At 42.3% G+C, this 22,570-nt stretch overlaps 1 protein-coding gene across 4 annotated transcripts in view, besides 1 other annotated feature; it reads left to right on the forward strand.

The window, feature by feature from the left end:
* The window catches only part of ADCY1 (adenylate cyclase 1), a 148,977-nt gene that overhangs the window by 27,126 nt on the left and 99,281 nt on the right, over positions 1 to 22,570 (forward strand). For all 4 annotated transcript variants that reach the window (NM_001281768.2, NM_021116.4, XM_005249584.4 and 1 more), the window contains 2 exons: positions 9,114 to 9,232; positions 21,367 to 21,478. In NM_001281768.2, coding sequence (NP_001268697.1) covers positions 9,114 to 9,232; positions 21,367 to 21,478 — 231 coding nt within the window. The remainder of the gene's footprint in view (positions 1 to 9,113; positions 9,233 to 21,366; positions 21,479 to 22,570) is intronic.
* Positions 7,572 to 8,547: an enhancer, noted in NCBI's record as "H3K4me1 hESC enhancer chr7:45648436-45649411 (GRCh37/hg19 assembly coordinates)". NCBI's record gives its function as "activates a minimal SCP1, AML or CMV promoter by ChIP-STARR-seq in naive H9 embryonic stem cells {active_cell/tissue: H9 hESC(naive)}" and the evidence as "EXISTENCE:reporter gene assay evidence [ECO:0000049][PMID:30033119]".

Here is a 22,570-nt window from a genome sequence, read left to right on the forward strand (position 1 = left end):
AACTGCATGTGGCAGGAGGCAGGAGAGGGGATCCTGCCAGGTTCTCAGCTGGCTCTGATGGACTGTGGCTGGGCAGCTCCCTAACTGGCTCCAGGCCTCAGATCCACCAGCCCTGAGTGTGGCTGGTTGTGGGTGATGAGGGGCGGTGGTATCCATACCTGAGCGCACTGCACCCTTAGCCTGCTCCTCTGATCAGGGCCTGCTGTCCACCCTGGAAGGAGACTCCTTTTCGCAGTACTGCCACAACTTTAGAGGCCATTATTGTTTGTTTTTTTTTCCAGTCCTCCTTCTGGTTTGTCTCGATGGTGATTTTACCTTGTGGAGCAATGGCTGGTAGAGGTGCAGTCATGAGTCCTCATTAATAGGTGTGTAGTGAATGAATGCAATTGAGTGTGATTGGGGAATTGATCCTGTAGCTTCTTTGGCCCAGTGCTCCCAGCGGTGGCCTCTTTGTGTGTGCATCTCATACACATGCTTTTGTGACCTTGCTAGTGAACTCGGGATGAGAGGTAGGGGTGAGGACAAGTGGAGATGGCCCTCACCTTCCAGACATGTCCAGCCTGGAGATGGTGCCAGGAGAAGGGAAGGGGCCTGAAACCCTCCAGCAGTGTGGATGGAGGACACCATGGCTGAGAACACTAACCAGGCTTGGGGCAGGGCAGAGGACGCCAGGGCTGCTCTGGCTGTAGAGATGCTCTCAGAAGTGACCAGTGCCAGGGCTTCAGGAGGTGGCCTTGACTGAACCGAATAGGGACGTACTATGGGGAAGAACAAGAGTGATCAGGGCTTTGAGGGATGTGTAGGGGTTTGCCAGGTAGAGGCAGGGAGGTGGGAACTGGAGGAGGCATTCAGGCAGCAAATTGAGGTGGAGGTGGTCACAGGTATTACTTTTGGTAAGCGTGAGCTCTGCCTTCCTTCTGCTTGGAGAGGAAGGGGATATGGGCTGGAAGTGCAGCTCCACTGGGTGGTGAAGACCACTTGGGGGCTTCAGGGTGTTCATGGTCCCCCACAAGGGTCTAGCCTGAAGTCTGTGCCTGTCGCAGCTGGAGAGCACAGGGTGAGAGGCATAGGAGGTCACCCTCAGCTTCCTCCTCCGCTGCCTGCAGCCTGTCCAGGAAGCCCTGTATCCCTGAGTTCAGCTCCCTCTTCCATACTATGGAGCTGGCCCCTCCCAGAGCCCTGGCTGTTCCTCAGATGCCATTATTAAATCAGAATTCCAAAAATAATATGCAGCTATTTAAAGCACACACTCAATTTGTTACCCTAACAAGGTAAATGGAACAATTTTGAGTTCTCATCATGTGAAGAAATTTATCAAGAGAAAGAAGACTTCCATTTAAGTGATGCAGTATGGATTTTTAAATGGGGCTGGCCAATGGACAGCACCTTCTCAAACAACTACCGTTGTGATTTATTTTTCATTTTTAAATGGCTTTATTGAGTTTATGTACCATAAAGTTCAATTAAATAAACTTTGTCCAACTGAATAAAGTTCACTCAAATGCTTTTTCCTATAGAGTTATTATTATTTAGAATTATGCAAGAATCTTAGTCTTATTACACATTAATCTTATTTAATACATATGTCAAATGATCTTATTGTAGAAAATTAGTATACAATAATCTAAATTTAGGATATTTTTATTATCCCCCAAAGACACCTCATATCCATTAGCAGTCACTCTCCATGTATACCCACACCTGCCCTCCAGCAAGACATAGGCACCCACTAATTTACTTTCTGTCTCCATAGATTTACCTGTTCTGGACATTTCATACAAATGGAATCATATAATAGGTGATCTTTTGTGACTGGCTCTTTCCACTTAGCATAATGTTTTTGAGGTGCATCCAGATCATAGCATGTTTTAGTATTTCATTCTTTTTTATGGACAAATAATATTCCACTGTATGGATGGATCACATTTTGTTTATCTGTTCACGGCTGATACATATTTGGGTTGTTTCCACTCTGGCTATAATAAGTAATGCTACTATAAAAAATCATGCACAAGTTTTTGTGTGAACACATTTTCATTTCTTTTGGATAAATACCTAGGAGTAGAATTGCTAGGTCTTGTGGTAACTCTATGGTTAGCATTTTAAGGAGCTGCTAGACTGTTTTCCAAAGTGGCTGCACCATTTTCCATCCCTACCAGGAGTATGCAAAGCCTCTAGTTTCTCCATATTCAGAATCTTTTTTTTTGTTTAAATTAAACTGTTTTTATTTTGAACTACTTGTAGATTCACATTTAGTTATAAGAAATAACACAGAGAGATCCCATGTGCCCTTTACCCAGCTTCCCCAGTGGCAACATCTGCAGAACTGTGGTACAATATCACAACTAGGATATTGACATTGGGACAGCCAAGATATGGAACATCCGTCACCCTGAGGATCCCTCATGTTCCCTTTAAATAGCCACATCCACTTCCCTCCACAACACCTTCATTCTTAAGACCTGGGAATCACTAACCTGTTACCCATTTCTTTAAATTTGTGATTTCAAAAAATTTATATAAATGGAATAATAAAATACTGTAGACATTTGGGATTGGCTTTTTTTTCACTCAGCATAATTATTTGGAGGTTCATCCATATTGTTGAATATATCAATATTTGTTTCTTTTTATTACTAAGTGGCATTCTATGGTGTGGCTGTATCACAGTTTGTTTAATTGTTGGCCCATTGAAGAATGTCTTGGTAGTTTCCAGTTTTGGCCTATTAGGAATAAAGCTGCTATGAACATTCATGCACAGGTTTTTGTGTGAACATAGGTACTAATTTTTCTGGCTCAAATACCTAAAAGTACAGTTGCTGGGTCATATGGAAGTTGCCTATTTAGGTTACTGAGAAATAGTGAAACTTTCCCAGAATGGTTGTACCATTTATGTACCCAGCAACATATCCATGTCTTTTGCCTACTTTCTAACTGGATTTTTTAAACTGCTGGGCTTTGAGAGTTCTTTATATGTTCTAGATAACAGTACTTTTTGGGATATTTTGTTTGTGAATATTTTCTCAAAACCTATAGTTGATCATTTCATTCTTTTAGCAGAGTCTTTTTGAGAGCAAATATTTTTAATATTGATGAGGTTTAATTCGCCAGTTTTTCCTTTTGTACTTTTGGTGTCAAGTCTAAAGACTTTTTGCCTAGCCCTAGTTCTTATGTGTTTTTCTGAAAGTTTTATCTTTTACATTTAAATCTATAACGTATTTTAATTTAATTTTTGCATAAGGTATGAGGTTTAGGTTAAGATTCATTTTTTTGTCTATGAATGTCAAGTTGCTGTAGCATTTGTTGAAAAGACTACCCTTCCTCCATTGAATTACTTTTGAACCTTTGTCAAAAATTTGTTGCGCATATTTGTGTGATCTATTTGTGGATTCTAGATTCTGTTTTATTGTCTTATGTGTTTATCTGGCAACCCACGTCACACTGTCTGGATTATTGTTGTTTTATAACAAGCCTTGAAATCAGGTAAAGTGATTTCTTTTACCTTGTTGTTCTTTTTCAAAATTATGTTAAGTAGTATTATTCCTTTTCCTTTATATTTAAGTGTTAGAATAATTTTGTCTATAGGTACTAAAGAATTTGCTGGGATTTTGATAGGATTTATATTAAAACTGTATATCAATTTGGAGAGGGTTGACATCTTTACTAAGTTGAGTCTTCCAATCCATGAACATGGTATGTCTCTCCATTTATTTAGATCTTCTCTGATCTCTTTAATCAGTCTTTTATGGTTTTTAACATACAAATCCTATACATGTTTTGTTAGATTTACACCTCAGTATTTCATTTTTGAGCAACTGTAAATGGTATTGTATCTTAAATATCAGTGTCCATGTGTTTATTGCCAGTATATAGAAATGTAATTGACTTTTGTATATTGATCTTGTATCCTGTGACCTTCTGAACTTAATTATTTGTTCTAGGAGTCTTTTTGGTACAATTTTCTTTTGTTTCTGCTTTTGTAACATCCATTGTATTTCCCATGTAGACCATCATATTACTTTTATTTCTTTCTTTCCAATCTGTATGCCTTTTCTTTCCTTTTCTGAACTTACTGCACTAATAAGACCTTCCCATGAGATGATGAATATGAGTAATGGGAGCCAACATCCTTGCCTTGTTCCCAGTGAAAGCATTCAATGTTTGTTAGGTGTAGGCTTTTTCTGAATATTCCTTATAATGAGGAGGAAATTTTTTTTCTATTTTCATTTTTCTGGAAGTTTTCATCATAAATAGATGTTGAATTTTGTCAAATTCTTTTTTGGTATCAATTGCTATGTGATTTTTTTTTTTATTCTGTTGACATGGTGTGTTGCACTGATTGATGTTTCAATTTTGAATTAGCATTACATCCCTGGATTAAACCCCATGTGTTTGGGGTATATACTTCTTGTTGCATATCACTGAATTGCTATCTTGTAAAAGACTTTTATATCTATGTTTCTAAAGTGCATTCGTAGTTCTTTATTTAGTCATTCTTATGATGGTTGCTTTACAGTCTTTGTTGGTTATTCTGGCATCTCTGTCTTGGTATTGATGTGTGTTGGTTGTCTTTGTTCACTTGATGAGCTTGTTCTAGTTCTTGGTATGATGAGTGATGGTTCACTGGAACCTAGGCATTTGGAATGTTGTGTATGAGCCTCTGTATATTATTTGGACATTTTGTTTTTGATGATTTTCTGTGACATGACTCTGGTTGGGAAAGGGGGGTTGCTGTCTCTTTACTGCCAGGTGGGGTTAGAAGTTTAGGCTCCACACTGGGCCTCTGTTGACACCATGTGGGGAGGGCTCCTTCTTACTGCTGGGCAGGAGTGAGAGTTCTAGTCCCTCATGGTCCCCGCTAATAGTACCTGGCTTGGGGGAGGAGAATGAGATCCCCTTGGTTCCCACTGACTCTGCAGAGTTGGGGGATGCTTGTTACCAGCAGGTGGAGAGGGAAGGCTTGGCTCACTCTGGGAGTGGGTGGGTTGATTGGGGGCCCCTTCACAGCCTGGGGTGGGGGTGGAGGTCTGGCCTCTCTACTTGGCCTTTGCTGGTGTGGGTGGGGTTGGGGCACAGAGTTTTCAGTGTCTCTGGCCTGGAGTAGGTAAGTTATTGTCTGGAAGTTTTCTTCTTGTGAGGTTGCCCAGTCCTGGGCCTTTGGCTGAAGAGAGCTGCTTTTGTTGTGTTTTCCTTTGGTCTGTGCCTATTGGTATTGCTGACTTGCCCACTTCTCAAGCACTCAGTCTGGCATATATGAGGCTAAAGAAACCTCAGGAACTCACCTTTATGTCATTTCTTGGTTTCAAGATTTCTGCCTTCTTCCCTCTGACTTTTAGTCTTGGTTGTTTGATGTGTAACATCCAGGACTTTCAGCTGTGTTCAGCAGGAGGAATAGGGAAAAATACTTCTCCATCTTCCCAGAAGTAGAGTCTTCACAATTGTCACTGAAAATCTAGTTTTTTTTAAGAGTACATTTAAGTCACATTTTGATAATCAAGATAAATTCGTTAAGATTTTTATATAGCCTTTATAGGACACTGAGGTACTTTGTATGATCCATATTCATATTAGCTTTTATACTTTTGATTTCTGGCTATTTAAATTATTTTGTTGGCTAGAGCTTATTGACATATGATCTGTTCTTGACACTAATGTTTACTGCTGCTTGGGCCTTGAGGGTTTTGAGATTGGATGTGAATTTCACGTGGAATCTTTATAATGTGAATGAGCTACTTCGTCTTTTTTTTTTTTTAATCAGAAATGAATGCTGAGTCTTATCAGATGGCAGCTTGCTTCCTGTGGGAAAGGTTTTGTACTTTAGTCTGTGGTTATTAACTTGCATTGGCTTAGATGCTGCTGCTAATCCAATGGACAGAGCTAATGCTGAGCCCTTGGTTAGAAATGCAGTTGTCCTTAGGAACGTCGTGTGACAGTGGCTTACAGAAGTAACATAGCTCTTTTTGTCTTACGTATACATTCCAGGGTAGACACTTTATGGTGGTGCGGCAGATGTGATCCATGAAACCCTCAGCTGTCTCCATCTAGCTCGCCACCTGTGTCCCTAGTGTGTTGCCTTCATCCTCCTAAACCAAGATGGTAGGTGGAGATCTGGCTGTTATGACTGTGTTCCCAACAACAGCAGGAGAAGAAGGGAAGAGGGACAAGCTGTTTTGTTTTTTAAATTTTAACCTTCATTTTAGATTGAGGGTACATGTGCAGGTTTGTTACGTTGATATACTGTGTGATACTCAGGTTTGAGGTACAATTGATCCCATAACCCGGGTACTAAAGCATAGTACCCAGTAGCTAGTTTTCAACCTTTGCCTCCCTCCGTCCCTCTCTCCTCCTTTTTGGAGTCCCCAGTGTCTGTTCTTCCCATATTTATGTCTATATGTATCCAATGTTTAGCTTCCACTCGTAAGTGAGAACATGTGGTATTTGGTTTTCTGTTTCTGTGTTACTTCAGTGGCCTCCAGCTGCATCCATGTTGCTGTAAAGGACATCATTTCATTCTTTTTTATGGCTGCATAGTATTCCATGGTGTATATGTACCACATTTTCTTTATCCAGCCCACCATTGATGGGCACCTGTGTTGATTTCATGTCTTTTATTGTAAATAGTGCTGCGATGTACATACACATGTATGTGTCTTTTTGGTAGAATGATTTATTTTCTTTTGGATATGTACCCAGTAATGGGATTGCGGATTTGATGGCAGTGCTGTTTTAAGTTCTTTGTGAAATCTCCAAATTACTTTCCACAGTGGCTGAACTAATTTACGTTTCCCACCAGCAGTGTATTCCCACCAAATGTTCCCTTTTCTCCACGGCCTCACCAGCATCTGTTGTTTTTTGACTTTTTAATGGTAGCCATTCTGACTTCTGTGAGATGGTATCTCATGGTGGTTTTGATTTGCATTTCTCTAATGATTAGTGATGATGAGCATTTTTTCATGTTTGTTGGCTCCTTGTATGTCTTCTTTTGAGAAGTGACTGTTCATGTCCTTTGCCCAGTTTTTAATGAAGGTTATTTGGTTTTTGCTAGAACAAGCTGTTTTTAAGGAACATTTCCAAAGCTTCCACATGACCTTTCAACTCATGTCTCCCTGGCCACATCTAGCTGCATGGGAGGCTGGAAAGTATGGTCTTTATTCCAGGTAGCCAAGAACCCCAATGAAAATAAGGGTCTCTCTTGTCAGGCCAGCAGTGGAGCAGGGCTACTGGGGACAGCCAGCTGATAGCTGGGTGACTCTGCCACAGCTGGTTCTTGCAGCACCCTGTGCCACGGCTGAGTTGTCCACGTGAGCTCCAGTCTCCCATGCTGGGGGCCGTGTGCGGGAAGTCAGGATGTGTGCCAGGGGCTTCCCAGCAGTCTTTCTTTCCTTCCTGGGATCAGCATTTGTGGCTCTGGATGCTCCCCCATCACCTGTCACATTTTTGTGGTCCTTGGAGTTCAGTATCCTGCATTTTTCAATTCCTCAGAAAGTGGGTGCCAAGGTGGAGGCCACATGGGGGCTGCGGCAGAGCTTCATGGGAGCTACTTGGGGGCTATAGTGAGGGCTCGGGTGGGGACTGCAGTGGGGCCCTTGGTGGGGGTGGGTTCTCAGTGTAGACCTTGGCCTTGTTTAGGACACACCTCCAGGCCACAGACTCCGGTGCCAGGACTCAGGCAGCTGAGGCATAGACTTAGCCTCACTTGGCATCAGACAGAGCTGGACCTGGTCTTCCTTCTCTGAAGTTTATGTGGAAGTAACTTACCAGGGGAAACTTCAAGTGTGCCAAATTTGTTCTCCCATTGTAAAATGGGCTGTGCTCATGGAATGCTATCTGCCATGTGGAACAGAGGGGTGAGGCCCTCATGGCCACTTCCCAGAGATCATCTGGGATTTTGGGATGTGGGTAGCTATTTTCACTGTGGCTGCTCCTATGGCTCCTGAACGTGAAGGTGTCTGGGCACCTGTGCTCCTTCCGAGAAAGTCACACAGGATGGAGGCCGCTCCTGGGTCAGGGATGTAGCCTGTGCAGGAGGGACTCCCAGGGCTGTGCCCGGCAGGCTTGCGTGGCTGGGGATGGAGAGGAGGCGGAAGCATCTCAGTGCTGGGTGCCCGCGTGACTACTGCTAAGGCTCCTTGGAGGGAGGGAATGCTGCTGGCACTGAGCACGACAGGCCGCTGCGGAGGGGCTTGGAGCCAGAGGGCGCGGTGGGAGGGATGGAGCTTCTTCCCCTCTTCAGCCTGTTTCCGCGCTTGTCAGTGGGATGTTCTACCTGATTCTACGTGGGATTTAAACTCTGCTCTTTTGCTTTTCTTTTCAAAGCAGAGTGGGAGGGGCATGGGAGGGACTGAGGGATGAGTCGGGGACCCTCACACCACATTTCTGGAACATGGTCTCTCAGACGTAGGGGTGTGCCCAACAGGTCAAGGGCCAGCTGGGGTTGGGGTCAGGGAACATCCAACTGGAGGATGAGAATCAAAGTCCTACTTACTCCCTCAGTCCAGACAAGGAAACTGAGGTCTAGGAAGGGGAAAGGACTCTCCAGGATGGCATAGTTTATTTTGAAAAATCCAAACATTTATTCTTTTCTCTTGGGGGAAAAAAGAAAATGCTTGACCTACACAGCTAAGGGAGAAGTAAGAAGACAAAGACCAAGAAAGAATGCCACATGGTCCCGTAGCCCGCCTATCTGTGTAAGAACAAGAGGACTCTGTGGGTACCTCAGGAGGACAGCTTGTTTTTTTAAGCCAATGTGAAAGACTCTTTCTGGGATATTGTTGGAGCAGTAGGGGGAGGGAGAGAAGCCAGGTTGGGGCCCTGGTGGAGACAGCAGTGTTTTCACAGCTGTAACCCTGCTGTACACTGAAGCACAGGCCGAGACTCAGGAGTGTGTCCAGGGAGTAGCATGAGGAGCGCCGCAGGGAGGCTTGGGTGTTGGGGAGGCTGTGCCAGCCCTGGCTAGTGCTCCTGGAGGGAGTTGCTTGTTCAGTGGCAGTCCAGCCCTGGACGTGGGCCTACCCAGGCTCAGGGGCCCGGCGCCCTTACTGGGGAGGGTGAGGTGAGGAGGAGTGGAGGGAGGGGGCCCTGCTGTCTAACCCGGGCCCTTCTCTTCTGTCCAGGAGCGGCTCCTCATGAGCCTCCTGCCCCGGAACGTTGCCATGGAGATGAAGGAGGACTTCCTGAAGCCCCCTGAGAGGATTTTCCACAAGATTTACATCCAGAGGCACGACAATGTGAGGTAGGGCTGGTGCTGACCCGGCACAGCGGGGAGCCTGGGAAGCTGAGGTGTGGAGATAATGGTGAAGGTGGGGAGGTGATGACAGAAGTGGGGAAGGGATGGATGGAGGTGGGGAAAGAATGGGGGTGTGGAGGTAATGGTGAAGGTGGGGAAGTGATGATGGAAGTGAGAAGGTGATAGGTGGAGGCGAGGAGGTGATAGTGGAGGTGATGGTGGAGGTGAGGAGGGGATAGTGGAGGTGGGGAGGTGATGATGGAGGTGTAGAGGTGATAGTGGAGGTGTGGGGGTGATGGTGGAGGTGGGGAGGTGATGGTGGAGGTATGGAGGTGATAGTGGAGGTGTGGAGGCGATATTGGAGTTGTGGAGATGATGGTGGAGGTGGGAAGGTGATGGTGGAGGTGGGGAGGTGATAATGGAAGTATGGAGGTGATTTTGGAGGTGAGGAGGTGATAGTGGAGGTGTAGAGGTGATGGTGGAGGTGGGGGGTGATAGTGGAAGTGTGGAGGTGGTGGTGGAGGTGTGGAGGTGATGGCAAAGTTGGAGAAGTGATGATGGAAGTGAGGAGGTGATAGTGGAGGTGTGGGGGTGATGGTGGAGGTGGGGAGGTGATGGTGGATGTGATGGTGGAGGTGAGTAAACTGATGATGGAAGTGAAGAGGTGATGGAGGAGGTGAGGTGATGGTGCAGGTGGGGAGATAGGGGGAGTGTGGACAAAGGGTCTCAGTTGTGAAGGGAGGAGAGGGCAGATGTGGTCAGGAGGTTCAGGTGGACATCTGCCTAGCAGGGAAACAGGTCCTACGTGTAGGGGGCTCTTGGCTTCTTGGGTGATGCATGTTACAGTTATCTTTCCAATTTCTTATTTCAGTATTCTTACACTTCCTCTGTTGACTGGAGAGGGTAAAAAATCTGTCCCTAAACCTGGCTTTGAGCAGTGACATTTTGGGCTCAGAATTTGCCATGTCAGAATAGTAGCTGAGCATTATGCTAGTTGTTGCTGGGTCTGGTATATGTGTGCTCTTCTGTCTTACTCTGTTCATTTCATGACAGCCCTAGGAGGAAGGGATTGTTCCCATTTTATAGGTGAGGAAACTAAACCTTCAAAGTGAACCAACTTGCTTTAGACACTCTGAGGTTTGCTTGTTTTTTTTTTTTTTTAAAGATTCTGTTTAAAAGTATTTATTTTATTAAATTGTGGATTCCACTTAAAAATACTTTTCATGCAAGTATAGTGTGCTTAGAATGGTTTGAGTGTTGCCTATTTGGGATTAATGCTTTACATAAATATCACTCAGGTAGGAGATGGTGTTTGAGGGACCTGAAACACTTTTCCTTTTCTGCTGTTTTTTGCTGGTTCTTCTGGATGTTGGTGTCAGGCCTCACTGCCCATTTGGCCTCTGAAGACACAAAAGGTCAATAGAAACTCTCAGTCCTTCTTATGTTGAGCACCACAGACTGGGTCCCTGCAAACCAACACTCATTCATTGGAAATGAGTTGAGGTTTGTGGGTCCATCAGAGTCAGTCATCCTTGTGTGCCAAGCCAGTATGGCTAATTGCTGTCTGGTTGAGAGCTCAGCAGTCACTGTTCTGAGCACACGTGTTCACTGCCCATTGTCATGCTATTAAGTAAGGACCAGTGTTGTCCTCCTTCTGCAGAGGAGGATGCTTAAGCAATGTGGGGTGAAGGCCCAAGTGGGTGGAAAGTAGCTGAAGAGCCAGCATTTGAGCCCAGCATGACTGCAGAATTTATGCTGAGAACCTCTCTGCTAGATACTTGGTTCTGTTTAATATCATCATGCTTCTGTGAACTGCTGGCATTGTCACCTCCATTTTATAGATGAGGAAATTTAGGTTCAACAAAGTGAAAGGTATGCAGGACTCCCTGGCCAGTGAGTGGCAGGCTGGGACAGGAACTGGGATTAGCTGACACTAATATCTGCCTTGACTTTTGTCATTTCACTCACTGCCTCTTGTTACAAAATAAGGACATGACACACTGACCCAGTCCCCTGATGAGAAGAACAGACCACCAGAATAATCCCTGGAATACCTCGAGGGGAGCCAGAGCCTCTCCATACTGCAGGAAAGGCATCAAAAGTCAAGAGCCTTTTGACAGCTAGAGCTGGCAGACATCACTGACCCTTTCCCCTGCTCAGCATAGAGTGAACTGATGAAGAATCTCAGCTCTAAGCTTCTCTCTGGGGAGAGAAAGAGTCAGTGTGACCACTGCCCCAACTTTTATGGGGCTGCCTGAAGAACAAGCCTCTATCTCTCCCCTGGATCTCTTGATAGGTCTTGTACAGTCTGGCCAGGAGAGAACAGAGGTGGTAGTCTGGGGTGATAGATACCATAACTTCCCCCTACTCACCCCCTTCCCAGCACAGAATGAACAGACAAAAATAACAGCTGCCTGCTTTTCCCTCAGGAGAGAAAGGGTTGGTAAAGCACCAGAATCTGTGGCTGATTGGTGAGAGTCTCCTCCTGTACAGGACCGGTCCATGAAGATTGGGAGAGGTACCTGCTTTGTCTAAATCTCAGACACCAACACAGAGAGTTAAGGAAAGTTAAGAACCAGGCAAAGATGTTCCAAACAAAGGAATGAGATAAATATACGGAAACTGACTAATGAAACAGAGTTATATAATTTACCTGATAGACAATTTAAAATAACTCCCATAAAGATGCTCATGGAGGACAAAAGAATAATGCATGAACAAAGTGAGAATTTCAACAAAGAAATAGAAAATATTAACAAGTGCCAGAGAGCATGGAGCTGAAGACCACAATTACTGAACTGAAAAATTCACTAGAAGGATTCAACAGAAGACTAGATCAAGCAGAATAAAAGATCAGTGAACTGGAAGACAAGTCACTGCAGTCACTGGAAATAATTCTGATAGAGGGGCAAAAGGAAAAAGGAATGGAAAAGACTGAAGAAAGCTTGAGAAAATTGTGGGAAATCATTAGTGGACCAATATACACCTTATGGGAGTTACAGAAGAAGAGTGAGCAACAGAACCAGATTGTACACACAACACATACACATTATATATATATTTTCATCATATATTACATATATGATGTAAAAATATATCATTAAATATGAATATGTATACACACAATGAAAATTTCCCAAATCTGGTTAAAGAAATGGACATCCAGCTACAAGAAACTGAGATGACACCAAATAAGATGAATACCCCAAAATTCACACCTAGATACATTTAACCAAATTCTCAAAAGCCAAGGACAAAGGGAGAATTTTGAAAACAGAAAGGAAAAAGTGATTTGTCACATACAACAGAACCAGCGTAGGATAATGGATTTTCCAGCAGAAACCTTGCAGGCCAGAAGGGAGTGGGATGATATGTTTAAAGTGCTGAAAGAAAATAACTGCTGAGCAAGAATACTATGCCTAGCAAAAGTCTCCATAAAAACATGAAGGAATAAAGACCTTCCCAGACAATTAAAAGCTGAGGAAGTTCATGACTAAACCTGCCTTACAAGCAAGGCAAAAAGGAGTTCTTACATTGAAATGAAAGGATGCAAAACAACAACACAATAGCATAAGAAAATACGATACTTATTGGTAAAGTTTTATACATCAACAAATACAAAATACTGTATTACTGTAATTGTAGTGCATAAATCACTTTTTATTCTAGCATAAAAGTTAAGAAAACAAAAGTATTAAAAATAAATAACTGGAAAGTATGTTAAAATATATACTATATGAATAAATAGAAACTGTGACAACATAAAATAAATTATGAAGAAGTTAAAGTGTAGAGTTTCTGTATGTAATTGAACTTAAGTTGTTATCAGCTCAAAATGGACAGTTATAGTTTTTATAATCACTGAGGTAACCACAAAGAAAAAAAATGGCTATAGAAACTACACAAAGGAGAAAGAAAAAGGAATCAAAGCACATCAAAGCAAAAACATTAACATAACACAAAGGAATGCAGAAAGAGAGGAAAACACAAATAAAGAACTCCGAGACTAATAGAATACATTTAACAAAGTTGCAATAGTAAGCCATTCCCTATCAGTACTTAAAGTGTAGATGGATTAAACTCCCCAGTCAAAACACATAGCATGGCTGAGTGGATAAAAACAAAACCAAAACCAAGCCTAACTATATGCTGTCTATTTAAGGATGTACATAAATGGACAGTGAAAGGATGGAAGGAGATAGCTCATACCAATGAGACCCCAAATAGAGCAAAGATGGCTGTGCTTGTATCAGAAAAAAGGGACTTTAAGTCAAAAACTGCCAGAAGAGACAAGAAGTCTTTATTATGATAAAAGGGTCAGCTCCCAGGAAGATAAAATAATTGTAAATATATATGTATTCAGCATAAAAGCACCTAAGTATATAAAACAAGCATTGACAGAACTGTAAAAAGAAATAGACCACAAAACAATAATAATAGGCGACTTCAGTAGTCTATTTTTGATAACAGACAGAGCATCCAGACAAGATCAAAAAGAAAGCAGAGGATTTTAATAACACTATAGACTAAATAGACCTAACAGACATATAGCGGACATTACAAAACTCAAAAAGCAGAATACACATTCTTCTCAAGTGCACATGGATCTTTCTCTAGGAAAGGTCATATGTTAAGTCACAGAACAAGTCCTTACAATTTCAAGAATTATATCAGGTATCTTTTCTGATCACAGAGGGATGAAATTAGAAATTAATGGCAGAAAGAAAACTGAAAAATTCATAAATGTGTTGAAATTAAAAACACATTCTTGAACAATTATGGGGTCAAAGAAGAAATAAAAAAGGAAATTAGAAAATACCTCCAGGCTGGGCATGGTGGCTGACACCTGTAAGCCCAGCACTTTGGGAGGCCGGGGTGGGAGGTTTGCTTTAGGTCAGGATTTCAAGACTAGCCTAGACAACATAGTAAGACCTCATCTCTAAAAGAAAATTTTTAAGTTAGCCAGGCATGGTGGCATGCACCTGTAGTCTCAGCTACTCAGGAGGCTGAAGTGGGAGGATTGCTTGTGCCCAGGAGGTTGAGGCTGCAGTGAGCTATGAGCACACCACTCTACTCCAGCAGCCTGGGTGACAGAGAAAGACCCTATCTCAACAAAACAAAACAAACAAACAAAAAAACCTGAAAATACCTTCAGACAAAGGAAAATGAAAACACAACATACCCAAACTTATGGGATGGAACAGAAGCAGTAATAAGAGGGAAGTTCATAGCAATAAGTGCTTACATTAAAAAAGAAAGAAGATCTCAAATTAACAATATTAACTTTGCACCTCAAGAAGCCACAAAAAAGAACATATTAAGCCCAAAGTTATTAGAATGAAGGAAATAACAGAGATGAGAGCAGAAATAAATGAAATAGAAAATAAAAAACAATATTAAAAAATCTACAAAACCAAGAGTTGCTTTGTGAAACATTAAATAAGATTTTGACAAGTTCTTAGCTAGACCAATAAAAAAAGAGAAGACTCAAATAAAATTGTAAATGAAAGAAGAGATATTATAACTGAGGCCACAAAAATGAAAAAGGATCATAAGAGACTACTGTGAACACCAGCAAACTGTGTAACCCAGGAAATTTTGATAAATGTCAAGAAACATACAACCAACCAAGACTAAGTCATTAAGAAGTAGAAAGTTTGAACAGACCTATATATAGTATGGAGATTGAATCAGTTATCAAAACCCAACAACGAAAAGTCCAGGCCCAGATGGTTTCACTGGTAAATTCTACCAAACATTTAAAGAATTAATGGCAGTCCTTCTCCAAGTCTCCAAAATTGAAGAGGAGGGAACACTTTGAAACTATGAAGCCAGCATTGTCCTGATACTAAAGGCAAACAAGAACACTACAAAAAAAGAAATTATGGGCAAATATCCCTGATAAATATAGATTCAGATTTCCTCAGCAAGATACTATCAAATGCATCCAGGATCACATTAAATGCCTCATACACCATGATCAATTGAGATTTATCCCTGGAATGCAAGGATAGTTCAACATGCAAAAATCAATTAGTGTGATAACAACATGTTAAGAGAATACGGAATACAAATCATGTGATCATCTCAATAGATGCAGAAAAATATTTGACAAAATTTGACACCCTTTCGTGATAAAAATTCTCAACAAATTAGGATAAAAAATCCCCTCAACAAAATAAAAGCTATGTATATGACAAGCCCACAGCTATGATCATACTCAATGATGAAAAACAAAAAGCCTTCCCTCTAAAATCAGGAACAAGACAATGATATCCACCCTCACCACTTCTGTTCAACATAGTACTGGAAGTCCTGCCCAGAGCAATTAGAGAAGAAAGAACAGCAACAAAAAAAGGCATCCTAAATGGAAAGGGGAAAACTAGGAAGCAGAAGGAAAACAGGCAACCCACAGGAGGGGCAAGTGAGAGTCTTTCTGCAGCCCACTTTCCCACTGGAGATCCAGGTGATGGTAGGGCACCTTGATCCTCCCAAGTTTTGAATCCATCTTAGAAAGCAGCTGGGAGGCTGTAAGCAGGAACTGCTCCAGGGAGGGAACTTGCCCTGGGTCCCACACCGATTCTGCAACCTATGTGGCTACAGCAAGATGCCATTTTTTAAATCCTAGCTTTTAGCAGAGTGTGCATTGTTTTGGGATCCAGCAGTGCCAGTCCTAGGCATTCAGGAAATGTGGGCTATTTGCTTGTGGAACTGGAGCAAAGCAGGGGTGGGCTCCTGCAGCTGTAACTGAGAAGCAATCATGGTGTGGTCTGTAGCCACTGGCACTGGGAAGCAGGCACCACTCCTGGGGCTTAAGCAGGATGTGAATTGCTATGGAGTCTCGGTCTTGAGTTGGGTGCGGGCTTGTATGGCCTGGGGCCGAGTTGCAGGCTAGGCATGGACTGCCTAGGTCTGAAGGGTCAGCTGTGATAGGTGGGACTGGGATGAGAGAGGGATGTGTTTACCCCATCTGCTGGCCAAGGCTGTGACTGCTGGGGCTGACCCCACTTTCCCCTTGGCAGGACCAAACTCTTAGAATTTGATAAATGAATTCAATCAAGTTGGAGAATAGGAAATCAATGTACGAAAATCAGTAGCATTCCCATACACTAATAATGTACTAGCTGAAAAAGAAGTCTAGAAAGCAATGCCAATTACAATAGCTACAAAAAATAAATTTAACCAAGGATGTAAAAGATTTCTACAATAAAAACTATAAAACAATGATGAAAGATATTGACAAGGACACATAAAAATGGAAAGACATTTCACATTCATGGATTGGAAGAATGTTACTAAAATGACTGTAATACCCAAAGTGATCTACAGATTCAGTGCAATCTCTATCAAAGTATCAGTGATGTTCTTCACAAAAATAGAAAAAAAATTCCAAAATTCATGTGTTACTACAGAAGACCCTGAATAGCCAAAGCAATCTTGAGCAAAAAGAAGAAAGCTGGAGGCATTACATTACCTGGCTTCAAGATATACTACCAAGCTATATTAACTAAAACAGCATGGTACTGGTATAAAAACAGACATATAGACCAATAGAACAGAATAGAGAACCCAGAAGTAAATCCATGTAATTTTAGCCAACTGATTTTTGACAAAGGTGCCAAGAACATACATTGGGGAAAAGACAATCTCTTCAATAAATGGTGCTGGGAAAACTGGATATGCATATGCAGAAAATGAAACTAGATCCCTATCTCTTACCATACACAAAAATAAACTCAAAATGGATCAGACATAAATGTAAGACCCAGACTATGAAATTTCTGGAAGAAAACATAGTGGAAATACTTCTGGATATTGGTCTGGGCAGATGTTTTATGGCTAAGACCTCAAAAGCACAGGCAATAAGACAAAAACTAGAGAAATGGGATTATATCAAACTGAAAAATTTCTGCACAACAAAGGAAACAATCAACAGAGTGAATAGACAACAGAAGGATAGGATAAAACATTTGTAAACTATTCATTTGACAAGGGATTAATATCCAGAATATACAAGGAACTCAATAGCAAGAAAACAAATAATCTGATTTTAAAATGGCAAAGCATCTGAATAGGCATTTCTCAAAAGAAGACATGCAAATGGCCAACAAGTATATGATAAAATGGTCAGCATCACTAATCATCATGGGAATGCAAATCCAAACCACAATGAGAATCATCTCACCCCAGTTAGATTGGCTATTATCAAAAAGACAAAAAAGCAAATACTGATGCGGATGCAGAAAAAAGAGATCTCTTGTACCAGTTGGTGGGAATGTAAATTAGTACAGCCATTATGGAAAATAGAGTGGAAGTTTCTCAAAAAGCTAAAAATAGAACTATCATATGATCCAGCAATCCCAGTACTGGGTATATATCCAAAGGGAAATAAACCAGTATGTCAAAGAGATATGTGCTCTCCCTGTTTATTGCAGCACTATTCACAGTAACCTAGATGTGGAATCATCCTAAGTGTCCAACAGCAGATGAATGGATAGAGAGAATGTGGTATATTTACAGGATGGAATACTATTCAGGCATTAAAAAATGAAATTCTGTCATTTGTGTCAACATGGGTGTTCCCAGGGGATGTTATATTAAGTGAAATAAGCCAGTCATTGAAAGATAAATACTGCATAGTCTCACTTTTATATGGAAGCTAAAATAGTTGATCTCTTAGACGTAGGCAGTGGAATAGTGGTTACTAGAGGCTGGGAAGAGTAGGAGGAAGGAAGCCACAGGGAGAGATTGGTTAATGAGTACAAAATTACAGGTAGATAGGAGAAATAAGTTCTATTGTTCTATAGCATGTAGGGTGACTATAGTAAACAATAATTTATTGCAATTTTCAAGTACGTAGAAGAGACGATATTTGAATGTTACCAACACAAAGAAATAATAAAAATTGGAGGTGTTGGATATCCTAATCACCCTGATTTGATAACTGCATGTTGTATACATATATTGAAGTGTCACACCATAACCCATAAGTATGTACAATTATGTGTCAGTTAATATATATATGTGCATATATACAAATATTTATACAACATACACACACACATATACGTAACAGAAAAGAAGGAAATCTTGCCATTTTCAACAATATGTATGGAGCTGGAGGACATTACTGTAACCTAAGTAAGAGAAATATCTGCATGATCTCATTTGTATGTGGAAGTAAAATAGTCAAATTCATAGCAGCAAAGTAGAATGGTGGTTGCTAGGGAAAGGAGGCAGAGGAAAATGGGGTGATGTTGGTAAAAGAATACAAAATTTTAGTTAGGCAGCATGAATAAGTTCTGGAGATCTAACATGCGGCATGGTCACAATATTTAACCATACTGTATTGTATGTTTGAAATTTGCTCACATACACGTAGCTATGCAGAAGTAATGGCTATTTTAATTACCTTGATTGTGTCAATTATTTCAACCTATGTAGGTTTATCAAAACATCAAATTGTACACCACATATACACATGAGTAAACACAATTTTTATGTCAATGGTATCTCAATAAAGGTGTTAAAAGAAAATGTGTTATGCACATAAAATGAAATGCTGTTAAGCCTTAAAAAAGGAAATTCTTCAATATGTGACAAAATAGATGAAACTTGAGGACATTATACAAGTGAAATAAGTCAGTTACATAAAGACTAAAATACTGCAATATTCCACTTGTATGAGGTATTTAAAATAGTCGAAATCATAGAATTAAAGAGTGTCATTGTGGTTATAGGGTCTTGGGGGAGGAAGAAATGGGGAATTACCAGTCAATGGCCATGAAGCTGTAGATATCTGCTGTACAATATTTTACCTATAGTCAACAATAATGTATAGTACACTTTAAAAAGAATTAGTGAACTTGATAGCTCGATTATCCAGTGTGAAGAACAGAATGAAAAAAAGGATGAAGAAAATGAAGAGAGTGTCAGGGACTTAAGGGACACCATCAAACTTATCAGTACACACATATTGAGAGTCCCACAGGAGAGGAGAAAGAAAAAGGGGCAGAAAGAATATCTGAAGAAATAATGGCCATAAATGTCCCAAAGTTTTTGGAAAACGTTAACCTACACATCCAAGAAGCTGAGTGCACTCCAAGGTGGGTAAACTCAAAAAGACCCACACTGAGACATGTCATTATCAAACTGTCAAAAACTAAAGATATGAGAACAATTTTGAAAGCAGCAAGAGAAAAACGAGTTATCATCTACAAGGGATCTTCAACAAGGTTATCAGCTGATTTTTCATCGGAAACCAGGGAGGCCAGAAGGCAGTGGAATGGCATGTTCAAAGGTTGAAATAAAAATATAATTCTGTATCCGGCAAAAATCACAAGAGCAGCACCTGCTGTTACCACCATGCAGAATCTTCTTCTCCCAGTGTCTGTGTGCCCCTTTCCCCCTCTGCCCTTCTTCAGGACCCCCGTGACCAATCCTAGTTGACAGTACACACAGCTCCATATCTGACTTCCCTGCTTTTCCATAGTTACATGTGTCACCTTTGATGTTCTCTGCATGTTTGCCCCTTCCCTGAATAGAATGGAGTCTTTCTGAGGGCAGTGAGGTTTGTTCAAATCCTTTTTTTTTGAGACGGGGTTCCACTGTGTCTCCCAGGCTGGAGTGCAGTGGCATGCTTCAGCTCACTGCAACCTCCACCTCCCAGGCTCAAGTGATCCTCCCACCTCAGCCTCCCAAGTAGCTGGGACTACAGGTGCACGCCAACACACCTGGCTAATTTATGTATTTTTTGTAGAGATAGGGTTTTTCCATGTTGCTCAGGCTGGTCTCGAACTCGTGGACTCAGGTGATCCACCTGCCTTGGCCTCCCAAAGTGCTGGGATTACAGGCATGAGCCACCATGCCCTGCCATGAATCTTTTATTCACTGCTAAATCCCAAGCACCTAGAGCAATGCCAGCACATATAGCCCTCAATAAATATTTGTTGAATAAGCAAGTGAATAAATGAATTAGAATACTTAAAAATTATTATAAATGATTGTGAACAATCACTGAGCTCTTACTAGGGGCAAGGTATGACCTGGACTCTAGTCTTATTCCCATTTTACATGGCGGACATGCGGAACGGTTGGATAAGTTGCTGTCAATAGTGGAGCTGGATAGTTCCCTTGGAGTCCAATTCTGAACCCTACTTCCCTCCTGTCCCTGCCTGCTGGCCCATCTTTGGCGATACACTGTGTTGTGAACAAAATAGGTCATTTTCCTTTACTTTGCGTTTATTTCCTATAGTGGTGCTGGGGGCGTTCTGGGTTCAGGAAGCCTCAAAGTTAGAGAAAAAGCCAAGAACACTTTGAACAAATGTGAATAAATGATTGGGACCCTGTGGAGAGATATCTTAAAGCTACAACATTTTTACAGACAAAAATATATAATTAATTTTTTTCTAATATTTTCAAAGAGCATGTTTTAATATTGCAAGAAGAGATAGGAAACATCTTTTTAAAGTCTTATTATCTCCAGAAAACATGAAAGTTCTGCCCTGTGGGTAGACACTGTGTCGTTTAGGGCTGCCCCCAGTGCTGTGATAAATAGACACTCAGTACGTAGAGGCTTTGATGCAAGACAGTGTGTTTCCTGCTCTCATTGCAGACTGAGGGGGCGGCCCCTTTGCCCAGGAATTCGGGGACTCCCTCCCTTTTCATTGTGAAGCATTGACACCACACTCAGGGCCTGGGAGTTTCTTGCATTCAGCTGGCAGAAGGGGAAAATTAGGATGTGGAGGGGCCCACATGCTGAAAAGCACATCACTTCTGCTCGGTGCCGCTGGCCACATCCCAGTCACGTAACCTCCCCAAGAAGGGGAGGCAGGTCTAGTGGAGGGCAGATGGGCTTTCCCTATGTGGTGTGAGGGGTCAGCATGGGGGATGGCGAGCTCTGAATGGCCTCAGCATTTACTCCCCCAGTGGCCAAGCCTCGGCGTTCTGTGGCTTTTCTGAGCCTCAGTCTTCTCACCTGTATGATGGGAACCAGGAAGCCTTCATTTCTGGTCTGCATTGAGGAATAAATGGGGTGATTGATTCTACAGTGATTTGGAGATGTAAACATCTGTACATCTCTAGGGATTATTTCCTGAGTGACTGGGAGAAGGGCAGCCTGGCACCCCTTTCTCTTGCAGCATCCTGTTTGCTGACATCGTGGGTTTCACGGGCTTGGCATCCCAGTGCACAGCCCAGGAGCTGGTGAAACTCCTCAATGAGCTCTTCGGCAAGTTCGATGAATTAGCCACGGTAAGTGCAGCGTTTTTCTTTGTTCGAATTAAATTAGAATTGCTTCTGGAGTGACGATAAGCCAGGTGGATTCCCTGTATTTGGACCATGAACTAGACTGATTGCTAAGCATTTCTTCCAGCAAGGTTATAAATCACCTGTTGTTTTTAGCCTCACTGTTCATTGATTCCTTTCCTTGAACCGGAGCCTTGCATTTACCAGATAAGAAAATGCTTGCACAAGCATGGCCAGCATGCTGTCGAATCGGGGCTTCCATGCAGAAGGCTTTGTTGTGCAGGCCATACGTAGGTACGGGTCTGTCCTGTGCACCATCCTGCTGCCATTGTGTCCCACTGTAGACAGAGCTGGTGTTGCAATCCCTCGTTCTGGGCTCTACTGGAGCAGGCCTGATTCTGGGTCTGCCACCCTCCTGGGATTGAAACTTGTCAGCTGGGGGCCCAGTTGCTGACGTCTCCTGATGCCTGGTGCAGGCAGTGGCCACCCTTGCCCTCAGCAGACTGCGTGCTGGGGTTTTGAAAGACCTTCCTTGGACCAGTCACATCTGGCAGCCAAGTTCTGCTGAATGTCGGGCCAAGGCCATACCAACAGCGTTGGCTTGTAACGTGCATGTTAGGAAGCAAAGATGAGCAAGCTAGCCAAACCTCCTTGTACAGAGGTTTGCCCTCCTGGGACTTAGTCACATTGGCCACAAGGCTCCTGAGGGGCTGCCACTGTCCCCCTTTCTCCCCCACAGAATGTGCTGTGTTTAGAGATAGGACATGTCGGGCTGGGATCTGAGCTGCAGAAGCCAACAGACGTTGCAGGCCCAGAGAGAGCACATCTATTGCATGGCATCGATATCCTACCCCTCGTTTTCCTCCGCTGCCCATGGATACATTGTACTACTCATCAGCCATCAGATTGAAAGCTAGAATGTGCCCTATTTGCAAGTGATGGAACTTCCCCTCTTGCCATTCACCTGGCACATCCTCCCTGAGATTTTCACGCCCAGACTGTGCAGGAAGGGTCGGCTTCTGCAGACAACTGACCATGGGCACAGGAAGTCTCCTCTTTCGAAGAGGGAAGGGGAGGAGGGAGTCCGGTGTCAGGAGA

The sequence above is a fragment of the Homo sapiens genome, chromosome 7 (assembly GCF_000001405.40).
Source record: "Homo sapiens chromosome 7, GRCh38.p14 Primary Assembly".
NCBI classification, from domain to species: Eukaryota; Metazoa; Chordata; class Mammalia; order Primates; family Hominidae; genus Homo; species Homo sapiens.